The 14,800-nt window shown below is 48.1% G+C and overlaps 2 annotated features.

Annotated features, from left to right (window-relative positions):
- Window positions 1,413-1,707: a silencer, noted in NCBI's record as "tiled region #11227; HepG2 Repressive DNase matched - State 9:DNaseU". NCBI's record gives its function as "represses a minimal TATA promoter and a strong SV40 promoter by Sharpr-MPRA in HepG2 cells {active_cell/tissue: HepG2}" and the evidence as "EXISTENCE:reporter gene assay evidence [ECO:0000049][PMID:27701403]".
- Window positions 10,123-10,622: an enhancer, noted in NCBI's record as "H3K4me1 hESC enhancer chr2:62523719-62524218 (GRCh37/hg19 assembly coordinates)". NCBI's record gives its function as "activates a minimal SCP1, AML or CMV promoter by ChIP-STARR-seq in naive H9 embryonic stem cells {active_cell/tissue: H9 hESC(naive)}" and the evidence as "EXISTENCE:reporter gene assay evidence [ECO:0000049][PMID:30033119]".

Raw genomic sequence — 14,800 nt, forward strand, 5'->3', positions numbered from 1 at the left:
GAAGAGGAGTAGGGATAGAAATAGCAAGAAGATGAACGGTAGAAGAGGAGGAGGAGAATCAGGAGAAGAAAATTACCATGTAGAAATGATAATACGCTCCCAGTCAATCCATCGCCCACGATGTGCCTGTCACTGTTAAGTGCCAGGGAGGGGTATTCTGTAAAAAGTGAAAGACCTGTCCCCTGTCACTAGGAGTTTACAGTCTATTGGAGAGGTGAAATATTCTTCAGAATCCCAAAGTGTGAGAAATGACAAATCAAATTCATATGCTCCCCCCACTAGGGTTAGTGGGAAATCAGTCTCTGTCATTGTTTAGGATTTCCTCCCTCCTCCCCCACTTCATCCACCCAGCCCAAGGTGTGCATGTGACGCCCAGGCTTACACTGTCTTAGGGAAGAGGGAAGAGGCCCCGTCTTCGGTCCAGCATTGGCTGCTTCTCCTCGTGCAATTTGTCCACAGCCCTTCTGATCTCATCCATGCTCATGACTCCTCCTCTTTCTTTTTATTTTTTATTTTTTTTGAGATGGAGTCTCGCTCTGTCGCCCAGGCTGGAGGTCAGGGGCGCGATCTCAGCTCACTGCAAGCTCCGCCTCCGGGTTCACGCCATTCTCCCGCCTCAGCCTCCCGAGTAGCTGGGACTACAGGCGCCCGCCATCATGCCCAGCTAATTTTTTTGTATTTTTAGTAGAGACGGGGTTTCACCGTGTTAGCCAGGATGGTCTCGATCTCCTGACCTCGTGATCCGCCCACCTTGGCCTCCCAAAGTGCTGGGATTACAGGCGTGAGCCACCGCGCCCGGCTGACTCCTCCTCCTTCAAACCAAGCTAGGACACTTCTTTGCAGAGGTTCTCAGGCCTCTGCCTCTGGTGCCACAGTCGCTGACCTTCAGGACGTGTCATTCCCAGGGTGCAGATCCCCCAGTCATGAGGCCTGCAGAAGGCCGATGGCTCACGCACCTCATCCTTCCCTCCACTTTGGCTGCTTCCTTCTCTAGCCTCCTTCCAAGCCATCCCACCAGCTCTTTACTCACTTCCTAAAAATAAAGCCTTCACCTCTCTGGGTAGGGGAAACCCATGCCCCAGGACTTGAGGCCTGGCTATCCAATAGGAGGAGAGGTATAGTTCATTTTTTTCATTATGCGCCTACAGCCCAGAAAACAAGGGGCAGTTACTTTTTCTTTTTTTTGTTGGGCCTCACTTTATCCCCCAGGCAGTGGTGCAATCTCAGCTCACTGCACCCTCAACTTCTGGGGCTCAAGCGGTCCTCCTACCTCAGTCCCCCAAGTAGCTGGGACTACAGGACATACTACCATGCCCAGCTTTGCCATGTTGACCAGGCTGGTCTTGAACTCCTGAGCTCAAGCAATCTGCCCACCTCAGCCTCCCAAAAGTGCTGGGATTACAGGTGTGAGCGACCGTACCCAGCCTGGGGCAATTAGTTTCTTAGCCTGGTTGTTCTATTAGACTGCTGCAGGGGTCTGGTTCTAAAAAGATAGAGGGTGTTGGATGTCCATTGTGGGTGAGATGGCTCAGAGGGTGATTAGTGCCTGTCAGTTGAGTGTGGTGACCTCGTGAGGGGTGGGGCTGGTGGCAGGGAGCCAGGAGCTCCTGAAACAGAGGATGCCTCAGTGTCCTGGCACTGTGCCCAGTCTGTCTGGGGCCAGTCTCTCACCAGCTGAAATGTATGTGGTTACAGGAGAAAGGGCACCACACTGGGTGACAGAGCAGCTAGTTTCAGGAGGTGTGAGCCCAAAGAAATCCTGGCTTTGGGGAATTTGAGGGAGGTGGCAGTTTCAGAGAATCTGAAAGTCAGCCCATAATCCAAAACCAAGGAGAGAAGGCACCAAGCTCCACCCAGCCTCTGGCCACTGGCTAACTCTGAATGGGAAATGGGCCTACTATTTGCTGTGCATAACCTGCCCATCCCCCAGGATTTCTAAGAAGTGCTTGGCCTGTGTTTCTTGGTTCTCCTGAGAGCCAGATGTTTAATAATTTGAGTACATTTGAACTTGAAAATGCAAAAACATCCTTCTAGCTGCATCCTCCTTTTCCTTCCAGGGCCAGAATGATGTAGTGGGAGAACTTGATTCTGAAATCAAATGGAAAGTGCTTTTGTTTCTGGAGGTTAGAAAAAAAAAATTGTCAAAGAGCCAGGGCCTCATCTCTAAAAAGAAAACGTGAAATGGGCCATGAGTCCTGCTTAATAATTCAGAGATCAAACAGAGCCAACAAGAAGCTGGAGTGAACGATCAGATATACTCACACCCTTCTCTTTTTATCAGCTTGCAAATATTCTCGTTGGCAGCTGGTTAGAGAGAAGCAGTCCATCACAAATAAGCTAAACCATGCGTTCATTCACTTATTCAACAAAATCTTCATGACCGCCTCTTATAGCAGACGTCGCTAGTGCTGGGGATGCAATCCAGAACCAGCATGTGTCCCTCTGCTTCAGGGACCTCAGGATCTATATCATGATTCTCAAACTTTCATGTCCATCAGACTCCCCTGGATGGCTTGTTAAAACACAGATTCCTGGGTCCTACCTGTGGAGTTTCCAATTCAATAGGTCTGGGATGGCCTGAGCATTTGTATTCCTGAAGAGTTCCCAAGTGATGCTGATATTGCTGGTCCTGGGACCACCCTTTGAAAACCACTGGGCAAAGCAACCATGTCAGCCAACCATTTTCACCTCTCAGCATTACATGGCTCACTGTAGGAAATTCGAAGCCCTGGATAGGTTGCTAGAGGCCTGAGCTTACCAGCCCAAGAGCTGTGGCCATCCCAGGCCCACATAGCAAAGGGCACAAATATCTTAAGGCACACTTATGTCTAGGGAGACTGTCCAGGGGCCCTGGAACCCTCCCGAGAGAGGAGGAGGTACAGCTTTGAGAGATCTTCTATTGACTTCTCAATGGAAATGGAGACCTCACAGCACCACCATTTCACCACCAGCCCAGTGAGAGCCTAGAGCTCTGGGAGCCTGAGTCTGGGCTGTGGTGCAACGTGTGGTGCAAGGCTTCCACGTTTTCATCCTGCCTCCACCTAGAGCCTCTGCTGATCCCTTCCTGTCACATTCTTGACAACCCAAATAGCTCATTTCCCTTCCATGCTCACAGCTGGAGTAGGCAGGTGAGATCCCAAATGGGCCTCGGAGGCCTTTTCCAACTGAGTGGACACAGAGACATCATATATATCCACATGTAATATAGCAAATGGCAGATCATCTTGTGGGTCAAAATCTGCAAAAATCATTGGTTTTTCTTCTAACAGCTTTATTGACATATAATTTACAATTCACCCATCTAAAGTACACAATTCAGTGTTTTTTAGTACAGTCACAAAGGTTGCCTGTTCATCTTCATAATCAATTTTAGAACATTTTCATCACTTCAAAAAGAAACCCTGTACCCTTTAGTCACCCATCCCTCAACCACCCCCCAGCTATAGGCAACAACTCACCTACTTTTTGTCTCTATCGATTTGCCTATTTTGGACATTTCATACACATGGAATCATGCTATATGTGGCCTTTTGTGATTGGCTTCAAAATTACTTTTAACAGGGACATGGGATGACCTACATGTGAGTCCAAAAGATCATTGGCAGAAAGACAAGGTGGAGACAAATGGTTTAGGTTTACTTAATCTTGGAGTTCCAGTTGTCCCAGGGTGCTAATTCCCACCTCAGGAGGCTGTGGTGGGGAGTATGAAGGACCAGCGCAGACCTGGTTCCCAGATGCTCAGGGTGGAGGAGACTTGCTAGTGAAGAGAAGAGGCCTAGTATAATATTGTAAAATATATATTTGGGCCGGGCGTGGTGGCTCATGCCTGTAATCCCAGGACTTTGGGAGGCTGAGGCAGGTGGATCACTTGAGGCCAGGAGTTTGAGACCAGCCTGGCCAACATGGTGAACCCCCCCATCTCTACTAAAAATACAAAAATTAGCCAGGCATGGTGGTGGGTGCCTGTAGTCCCAGCTACTTGGGAGGCTGAGGCAGGAGAATCGCTTGAACCCGGGAGGCGGAGGTTGCAGTGAGCTGAGATTGTGCCACTGCACTCCAGCCTGGGTGACAGAGCAAGACTCCATCTAAAAAAAATTATATATATATACACACACACACACACACACACACACACACACACACACACATATATATATATATATATATATATAGAGAGAGAGAGAGAGAGAGAGAGAGAGTCTTATTCCGGTCTCCTAGCATACTCCTAAAATCCTTGGGAACTCCAAAGTCTTTTTGTTTGCTAATGAGTTGATCCATGGCTGGCAGCCCCTACCTAACTTCAGGATGTGAGCTGGTCACCAAAAAGACCAAGGCAGGATTAGAGGGATGGAACTTTCAGCTCTCCCTGCAATTCCTTATCTTATGCATCTCTTCATTTGGAGGAGAGGGGGCTAAAGTTTGGGTTAAGCACCAAAGGCCAATGGCTTAATCATGCCTGCCTCCATAATAACCCGAAAAGTTCTGGTTCAGAGAGCTTCTGGACAGCTGAGCATGAGGAGGTTCTGGGAGGGTGGCAAATACTGAGAGGGCACGGAAGCTCCAGACTCCATACCTCAACTTATGTATCTCTTCATTTCCTTTGTAATAAGCTTTATAAAAAAAAAAACGGTAAATGTGTTTCCTTGAGTTCTGTGAGCCACTCTAGCAAATTAATTGAACCCAAGGAGGGGGGCATGGGAACCTGGATCAATAGCCAGTTGGCAAGAAGCACAGACAAAATAATGAAACCACCTTTGCAAAGATGGTGATAATGAGAGAAATCTAACATGGCTGACTCCATCTTGCTTCTGGCCTCACAGGCTGGCTGTCTTCACTCATTCCTGGGCACAGGCTGAGCTAACCATGGGAGGAAGTTAGTTTATAGTTGAATTTGGAAGCAAAGATGATAACAGTCCCTTCCTAAAACATATCCCCTCCCTGTTTGGGGACTAAAACTGCCTTTGCAAGACTAATTAGGATTGTGGGAAAGGACTGAATTCTGCTAAAATATAGGCATAGTTTCTACAATTCTTTGCTGCTCAGGAGTCATGTGGCCAGAGGTCAGAAGGTTTGCAACTTCCTCAGTTGCTCCTATAGTAGAACCTAAGATTTGTCTTTTGAGATCTTTTTCAGACTTTTGTATTCTGGAAACCAACTGACCCCACTGAGACTTATAACTCATGACTTAACTAGTCCTGCGGTCCCTGACCCAGGAGCCGACTGAGGGCACGAGAACTGTTTTCCACGCCCCTATGATTGCATCCCCAAACAATCAGCAGCACCCATTCTCTAGTTCTCTGGCCACCAAACTATCCTTGACAAACCCTAGCCTCCAAGCCCTCAGGGAGACTGATTAGAGTGATAACACCAGTTGTTTCATGTGTCTGGCCTTGCATTAATTAAACTATTTCTTTACTGCAGTACCACGGTCTTAGTGAATTGGTTTTGTCTGTGCAGTGGGTGGGACGAACCTGTCAGGTGATTAAAATAATGGGGCTTGTGATTGACATTGGAAGTTGGGGGGCAGTCTTGTGAGGATGAACCCTCAACCTGTGGGATCTGACACTATCTCCAGGTAAATCGTGATTGAACAGCTGGCATCTGCTGTGGAATTGCTTGCTTGCCTGCTTATTGGTAGAGAGAAATCCCCACACATCTGATCACCCAGGTTTTCTGGGCTGATGGTTGTGGTGTGAGAGCAGAGGAAAAACAGTGTGTTTTTCATTCATCCCTAGTGAAAAGAAGACTAGCTCTGGAGCACTCTCAGATCAAAGCGATCTCGTTATGTATCAGTGGCATGCCCTGGCTTTCGAAAAGTTGAGGTTATGTAAGAGGTATTTTCCCTGCCTCTTATCCAGGAGGTTCTGTCTGAGTGCCAAAGTCAGCAAAGCAGTCCTCTAGGCTCTTCCCACTGAAGAGGTAGAGAAACTTTCTGTCACTTTGAAACTGAAAGTTGCCTAATCTGGGGTCCTTTAAGGACTGCTGTCTCCTCTATATTCCCAGATTTCTCCTGGCTGTTGTCCAGGGCTCTCCTCATTTCTCTGAAGGCCCTGAGCTGCCTGCCACCTGCCAGAGTCCCTGCTACCTGGCGATTACATTTGTCAAGGCAGAAGGCTTCTTGCCTCCTCCGTGTGAGCCCCACCACAGCAGCAGCCCCGTAAGAAGCTAGCTGGTCTGCATCCTAGCAGGACATCAGTGGTTTTGAAAAATATAGGCATTCATAGAAAAGATAGCAGGAAAGAAAACCAGACAGGGCTGTCTGGATCCACAGACCACCCAGATCATCCTCAGACCCACCAGATTCATTCTTGCCCCAGGGTTCCAGACCCATGGCAGGTGGCACAGCCTGGGACCTGGCCTCTCCCTCTAGGTTTCATGGGCACTATTCCCACCGCCATGACTTCGGGTGAGTCCCTCGGCCTTTCTTTTTCTTTCTTTTTTTTTTTTTTTGAGATAGAGTATTGCTCTGTCGCCCAGGCTGGAGTGTAGCGGCATGATCTCGGCTCACCACAATCTCCCCCTCCCGGGTTCAGCTCCCCGTGAGAAGTTCCAGCTCCCCGTGAGAAGTTCCACCATCAGGGACCCTCTCTTGTTTTGTTCAGACTCTGCTTTTCCGCAGCTGGTGTACTGGGGGAAGCCCACAACCCAGGGACGGCAGGTTGCTGAACTGACCCTCTGCCCTAGCCAGTGTCTGAGGTGGAGGCTCTTTCAATGGTCACTTTTTCTGGCTCAAGCCCGTGACGGGAATGCCAGGAACCCACCCAGGGGGAATGAGGTCTCCCAGGATGCTTCTCTGCCCTGCCCAGACACTCAGGCCACAGAGCTGTCACCCCGGTTCCTACCCATACCATCACGTCAGTGGTCTGGGGCTTTCTTGACAATTGTGAACAGAGTTAGGGGTCTGGAGAAAGGGGAGCAGTTGTATTCCTGCCCTCTGCCGTGCTGGTCCCCCACATACCAGTGAGTCCGGGTCTGGGAGTAGAGGCACCTGGGGCACAGGATTGGGAGTGAAGCATGAGAAGGGCATGGAGGAGGGAGGGCAATGAGAGCTTCCCTTCCTTGAAGTGTGCCCGGTGAGGTGTGAATCCAGCAACCCAGGGCAGGGATTGGACGGCTGCCAGAGAACAGTAACCAGAGGAGCTGCACGATACCTGCCCTCCCTGTGGGCGTGGGAAGCAGGCTGGGGCAGGCTGAAGGTCAGGCAGGATGCCCCCACTGGTGGGTGGCTGAGGAGGGTCTTCTGGTTGGCAGCACTGTCGGCCTAGCACTGTGGGGAGGCAGCCAGGGAAACAGAAACCACAGTTCACAGCCCTGACGCAGGCCCTGGGCCCACTGGCTGGAGAGGCCTGAATTATTAACCTCGGGAGAGGCCAGCTGGCACGAAGGCCAAGGGGACTGAATTGACTCCTCCCAGCTCCGTTCAGTCACCTAGGAGGTGAAGAATTCAGCAAGCCCTGGTTCTGGTTGCCCCAGTGTGACCAGCACTGTAAACAGGGCGCCTGGCTGGTCTGGCACAGGCTGCAGCCAGGGCCGTTCGCGCCCCGCCTCCTACCAGCTCCTCCTGGATTTCTCAGGGCTGTGGCCTTTTGTTTACAGGCTCCCGCCTCACCTTCCTCTCCCAGCCCGGAGCCTCTCTGCTGAGCACATGTTTAGCATTCCCTCAGGGCGGCTTTGCTTTTCCCCTTCCCACAAAAGAAGACCCTGCAGCTGCAGACATGCTGTGGTTTCCGGAGCCTTGGCTGTCATGGGGCCAGTCACCAGGGTCCACCTGCACTCAGATGCTGTCCTGGGGGAACTGGCTGGCAAGACCCCTTCCACCCAGCTGGAGGGGTCCGGAGGAGGCCGAATCCACTCCCACATCTGCTCTGGGCTCGCTTTGGAGTTCCCCTCTGAGCAGATAGGGCTAACGTGTCCCATTTCCAATGTCTGAAAAAGAAAGGTCGAGGGGCTGGGCACAGTGGCTGATGCCTGTAATCCCAGCACTTTGGGAGACTGAGGCAGGTGAATCACCTGAGGTCAGGAGTTCAAGACCTGCCTGGCCAACATGGCAAAACCCCATCTCTACTAAAAATACAAACATCAGCCCGGTGTGGTGGTGTGCGCCTGTAATCCCAGCTACTCAGGAGGCTGAGGCAGGAGACTCTCTTGAACCCGGGAGGGGGAGGTTGTGGTGAGCCAAGATCATGCCACTACACTCCAGCTTGGGCGACAGAGCAATACTCTATCTCCAAAAAAAAAAAAAAGAAAAAAAAAAAGAAAAGAAAAAGAAAGGCTGAGGGACTCACCCGAAGTCATGGCAGTTGGAACAGTGCTCATGAAACCTAGAGGGAGAGGCCAGGTCCCAGGCTGTGCCACCTGCCATGGGTCTGGAACCCTGGGGCAAGAATGATTCTGGTGGGTCTGAGGATGATCTGGGTGGTCTGTGGATCCAGACAGCCCTGTCTGGTTTTCTTTCCTGCTATCTTTTCTATGAATGCCTATATTTTTCAAAACCACTGATGTCCTGCTGGGATGCAGACCAGCTAGCTTCCTTAGGACCACAGGACATCCCTGGGCCTCTCCCTTCTTTGATAGCTCAGTTCACTATTTCCTCCCTGGGCACAGCTGTGGGCCTCACATTCCTGTTTCCTTTCCCCTGGGAAATAGGAACAGGAAAATTGTTAGGGAAAATTGTCCAAGACTTGAAAATGGAGCAGAGATTCCTGCAGGTCCTTTGAGTCATGTCAGCCTTGGGCATTGTCTGGCAGGCCTGTTCAAGGAATTACCTGACTTTCTAGGGGTGTAGACCTTTGTCTAACTTGCTATTTACTACTCATTAGGTTATTTTACAACTTTATGACAAAGGCATAGGAAACTGATAGGGTGCAGACTTGTTTTATAGTGACACAAATAAAAGCATTTTAGTGAAAAGGCCAGGGAGGACACTCATTCTATTTTATGGGATGAAATATTGCCCCATAAAAAATTGTAAAAAAAAAAGAAAAGGGGAAAAAAGGCTAAGTCCGGGCACAGTGGCTCACGCCTGTAATCCCAGCACTTTGGGAGGCCGAGGTGGGCAGATCACCTGAGGTCAGGAGTTTGAGACCAGCCTGGCCAACATGGTGAAACCCCCACATCTCTACTAACAATACAAAAATTAGCCGGGCATGGTGGTGGGCATCTGTAATCCCAGCTACTCAGGAGGCTGAGGTGGGAGAATCGCTTGAACCTGGGAGGCAGTGGTTGCAGTGAGGGGAGATCACGCCATTGCACTCCAGCCTGGGCAACAGAGCAAGACTCCATCTTAAAAAAAAAAAAAGAAGAGAAAGAAAGTCTAAGGTTTTATATAAAGTGATTTAGCAATATTACTTTAATATTCTTTCCTTCAGTAATTGTAACTATTTTGATGTCTCCTACATTTTTTTTTAAACCAGCTCTTCCATCCTGCTGGTTCTCTCACTGATTAAATACTTTTTAGATACATGTTCATTCTATATTTGTGTGAAAGCCATGTTTTAAAATTTAATTTTGAAAAATTAACATCTGGCAAAGTTGAGGGTTTTCTTCATTTACAGTTCTATGAATTCTAGCCCATATATAGTTGCGTACCTGCTACCACAATTAGGATACAAAACAGGTCCATCATCCCCCTGAAAAACTCCCTTGGGCCATCCCTTACAACCATGTTTTTGACTTCTTGAAAATGACTCTTTCACAGGATGCAGAGGGTTGTCAGTGACTCGGGAGTTGTGGGTGTGCCCGTCTTATCAATCCCCACAGCCTTGCCTGTGGAGATGCCCTATCTGTCCCCACTCTGTCAAGCCCAGGGAAAGGCGTGGGGTCAGAGGATTTGGCTCTGTCACACCATTCACTGCCTGCCCTTCTTCCCAGCGCTTCCAAGATCTGGTTGTATTAAACACGAGAATGAAGAGAGGAAAACACCTTCGCCCACGGTGTGCTCTGGGGACATCTCCAGGTGTGGGTGGTGGCGTCAGCCACAGGACAGGTAAATAACCAAAGGGAACATGGGTACCCAAGTCAGATGTCCTCTTCGCTCCTTCCCTCAGGAGAACCTGCCTTTTCCTCACCAGGGAGCTGGCAACACCCAGGCTTCCCTGCAAGGGCGGGAGGGACATCGAGGTGCCGGATAGCCAAGGGAGCAGAGGAGGAAGGGGCTCTTCGAGTAAACTTGTTGGGAATTAAGATGTGCTGCTCTCATCGCCTGGGTGTTACTTCAGTTGGAGAAAAAAGAGGCTTCACCATTTGTCTTTGTGCAGTGTTATCCTCAGCAAAGAGGACTGGAAACGTGGTACATGGGAGGAGGGAGCCAGGGATGCGAGTGGCCAGCCACGCCCAGGGAGGGGGAGCGAGGCACAGGGATGTCTCCAGACAAAACCCCTAAATCACATGGAATCAGATACACATATTCTCTCTCTCTCTCTTTTTCACATTCTCTCTCTCTCTCTGTCACTGAGCTATTTTTCACTCAGCATTCAGAGCCTGTGGTATGTGTGGATACGAAGTAGGGCTTCAGGTCTTCATAGGTCTAAAGTCCATAATGCTGTCTCTAGTGCCCTCCCTTTAAAATGTATTTTATAGCCTTTTATTTGTCTTTACCAACGAATGGAAAAGCAATGAAGTCAGACTTTTTTGGGATTTGCTGCATCTAACCGGTGCCCTTGCCCTCTCCAGAGGCCTCCCTTTCCCTGGTGCGAGAGGCATGTGCAGGGCCTGGTAAGAAAAGGAGCCTTAGACACTGACTCCAGGGGTCCCTAGCCAGCCTCATGGGCTTTGTGACAATCCTAACACTTAATGGTGTGTTCTACTCTGACTTCCAAGTTCTCTTTTCTTAAATATGTGTCTTATCTAGGGTGACCGTGTGACTTTTAGCCTCCAAACCATGACATTCTTAAGAGTGAAAGGAGGTGGGAATAATAATTACTCTGGGACAATGTGTGTAAACTGGGACCGTGGCAGGCAAGCAGCGAAGTATAGTCACTCTTATCTTTCAGAGTAAATTGGGAACTTTTTCCATGAAGGGGCCCAGTCTGTCTATCTGTGATAAGATATACTTGGGCTTTGTCCCCAAGAGATGAGTGTCTTTTGTGTGCCAATGAGATGTCCGGTGGCTGGGGGTCCCTAGTTAGCTTCAGGATGGGGGCTGCTCTCCAGAAAGACCAAGGCAGGAGTAGAGGATTGGAACTTTCAGCCCTATCCTGGACCTCCTGGGAAGAGAGAGGGGCTGGAGATAGAGTCAATCACCAATGGCTAATGATTTAATCAATCATGTCTAGGTAATGGGATCTCCATTAAAAACTGAACAGTGAGGTTCAGAGAGCTTCTGAGTTGCTGAATACGTTGAGGTCCTGGGAGGGTGGCATTCCAGAGAGAGCGTGGAAGCTCCACACCGCCCCCTAGTACCTTGTCCTTTACATCTCTTCCATTTGCCTGTTTCTAACTTGTATCCATTCCAATAAACCAGTAATAGTAAGTAAAATACTTTCCTGAGTTCTGTGAGTCCTTCTAGCAAATTATCCAACCTGAGGAGGGGGTTGTGGAAACTCTTGGTTTATAGCTGATTGATCAGAAGTACTGGGGACAACCTGTGACTTTCGACTGGCATCCAAAGTGGAGCAGTCTCATGGGACTAAACCCTAAACCTGTGGTGTCTGCACTGACTTCAGGTCCAATCCAACATATTAATTAATCCTACATATTAATCAGGATGGAATGGAATTGTAGGATGCAATTCCTATGGAGAGTTGGAGACCACCTTGGAGTCCTCTTCCGCATCTAAGAGCTTTGTTAGGAGATGCTTAGTTAACACTGACTGATGGCTGCTTCTTTAAGGGGCTCTCTTCCTAAGAAATTTAACCCAATTGAAGTTTAGAGGGAGAAACTTCTTGGTTTAGTTCAAACACCTTATTATATGTTGGGCTGGCTTTGGTTGTTAAATATCAACTGTTGTGAATGAACACTAAGAGACCACAGGTGACTTGTGATGGAAGGAGACTCTTTCAGAGAAGCCAGCCAAGTTCAGGCAGCTGCAGGCCATGTTTGTCTAATAAGTCACAATTGTGTGGCAGAGACTCCTGTGACCCCAGTTGTGCTGGAGGCAAGAGCTAAGCGTTGGCATGCCCAGATGGGATTTCAGGTATCCACTCTGTGTGAAAACCCACTAGGACTCCTTGAAGAAATGAAGATAATTTTAAGGACTGACTACAGGATTCTAGGAGAGCAGGTTTACATGTCTAGGGGAAAAAAAATAAAGACAAAGGTGACTTTGACCCCTGAAGAATATGCTTGGATGGGCAAAAAAATCACTCCATGGTAGAATCACTGCGGGGAGTCTCTTGCACGTATCCCTGGGTGGTTGATGGTGGTTGATGGTTGATGACTTCTGACCCAGCCCTGGTGGAGGAATCTAGGAGGCCCTAAGAAAATGAAAAGAGCAGGAGTGGTCCTTTTGGAGCCTTATAAACAAGCCATGAAAACTGATCAGGAGAGACATCTCTTCCACTTCAAAGAGTTAGAAACTGGCCAGGCTGTGCCCTACCACATCCCAAGAAGCCCATACACATAATGGACACCAAAGAGAAATCTTTCCAGCAAATGGCAGCCAAGTGTTGCATCCTAAAGTCAGAATATCATGATGGTTTTCTGTTAGAGGAAGTCCAATGTCTTAAGGAAGGGCACTCTTTGGTCTAATTGGCACAGGGGCAATGGGGTAGTGTCAGCCCCAACATGGGGTAGTGGCAACCACGGTCAGAGTACACGGTGATGTCCTCACTGGGGAGTGACAGTGACTACACTGTATTGCTAGTGGCCAACACTAGCAGTGATGTATGGAGTTGGCAACATCACTGCTTGCCTTGATGATGGCCAGGCTGGTGCTCATGCAAAACCTGCTGCCGATCCCACTGAAGCACAGTGGAGAATAGCCCAGAGAGAAGTCCAGGAAGGCTTTATCAGCGGAGGCAGTGTTGATGAGATACTTGGGCCCTGCCAGGAGGAGGAGGAGGAGGGGACCATGGGGTAGGGGCCTAGGGTAAAAAATATTTCTATTCACACTGCAGTTGTGACTCAGTCCCTTAGGATGCTGTGACTGGGAAACTCACATTACACTGTGTATACACATACATTACACTGTAACCTCCACTTCCTGGGTTCAAGTGATTCTCTTGCCTCAGTCTCCTGAGTAGCTGGGCTTACAGGTGTACACCACGACGCCTGGCTAATTTTTTTGTATTATTTTTAGTAGAGACGGGGTTTTGCCTTGTTGGCCAGGCTGGTCTCGAACTCCTGACCTCAAGTGGTCCCCCTGCCTCTGCCTCCCAAAGTGCTGGGATTACAGGCATGAGCCACTGCGCCCAGCCCTGTATGATTTTTTTATGTGCAGCTCACATTCAAAATTACTGCTTGGCTTCTTTGGCGCAGAACCTCCCTTCTCCACCAGGGCCTCTCACTGGGTCTCAGTGGTAGACACTCTGGAGGATGCCTGCCTCACTCTTTGAAGTGAATTATTTTGGGTATCACCTTGATCCTAAATAAGGTCAGACAATCCCAATATGCTCTAAACATTTGTTCAAATCTTATTCAACTATTTTCATGTAGTATAATAAAATTTTATTAATATCTCTTGGTTTAATTCATGATCATTTTACATGTGGTGATATTGACTGAGTCCAAGCACTACCAACTCTGCCTTCGCTTTTTTTTTCAATTTTTAATTTTGAGGGTACATAGTAGGTATACATCCTTCATCATTGTGAAATTAAAATGTGTCTTTAGGCTGAGCACAGTGGCTCACACTTGTAATCCCAGCACTTTGAGAGGGTGAGGCGAGAGGATTGCTTGAGCCCAGGAGTTTGAGGCCAGCTTGGGCAATATAGAGAGACCTTGTCCCTACAAAAATATAAAAGTTAAAAATTAAAAAACAAATATGTCTCTTAGTGATTTTTTTCTTTTCTTAATTACATATTCACTGTAACAAAAAAGTTTGAAGTTACAGGTAGGCAAAAAGAAGAAAATTAAAACACCCCTAGTCCTATTCTCAGAGTTAGCTATTACTTACCACTTGATGTATTTCCCTCCAATCTTTTTCTGTATATGTACATGTGAATGTTTGTGTATAAAAAACTCACACACCTATAAAACATAAATAAGACATCCAGCTACCTCAATAACTGCATTATTCGTTTCTAATATGTATACTTTTTCACGTATTTGCCTATTTTTATTTCATAACCATCTGTTCTTATTTGTGATGGCTATTCTTTCATTTAGTTCCCTGAAGTTTTATGTATACATTTTAAAACCCCCTTCAAGATTGTCTATTATCTCTAGTTCCTTAAGTATAAATTTTCTTCTTTGGGGGGGTCTGAAAACTGCCTTTAGTGTTGTTGATCTTCCTTATAGGGTGTGTAATTCTTGCCTATGAGCTTGTCTTTCATGGGAGCCATCTTTCTTGGGACTTCTCCACTGTGTGGTCTGGGTTTTAGAAGAAGGATTCCGGTGAGGAGGTTTCAGTGTTGTCCTATGGAATAGAGCACTGACTTCAAACCAAGTCTATGGCTAGTGGACCAGGACTGTTGACTGTTTCCACTGATAGCTGGGCAGATGGCTTGTGTTCAGCCACAACCTTGGGCAGCCCTCTTCCTGAAGGGGTGGCATGGTCCTGCCTCCTGGACTCATGGCTTCCTGCTGCATGTGGGGCTCATGACGCATTGAAATTGCAACCACAGCTCATCCAGTCTGAGTCCCCTGTGGGTCTTCCGGCTTTAGCTCCCATTTACAGGCATGTTTTATTTTATTATACTTT

This window comes from Homo sapiens, chromosome 2, assembly GCF_000001405.40.
Source record: "Homo sapiens chromosome 2, GRCh38.p14 Primary Assembly".
In the NCBI taxonomy this organism is placed as follows: Eukaryota; Metazoa; Chordata; class Mammalia; order Primates; family Hominidae; genus Homo; species Homo sapiens.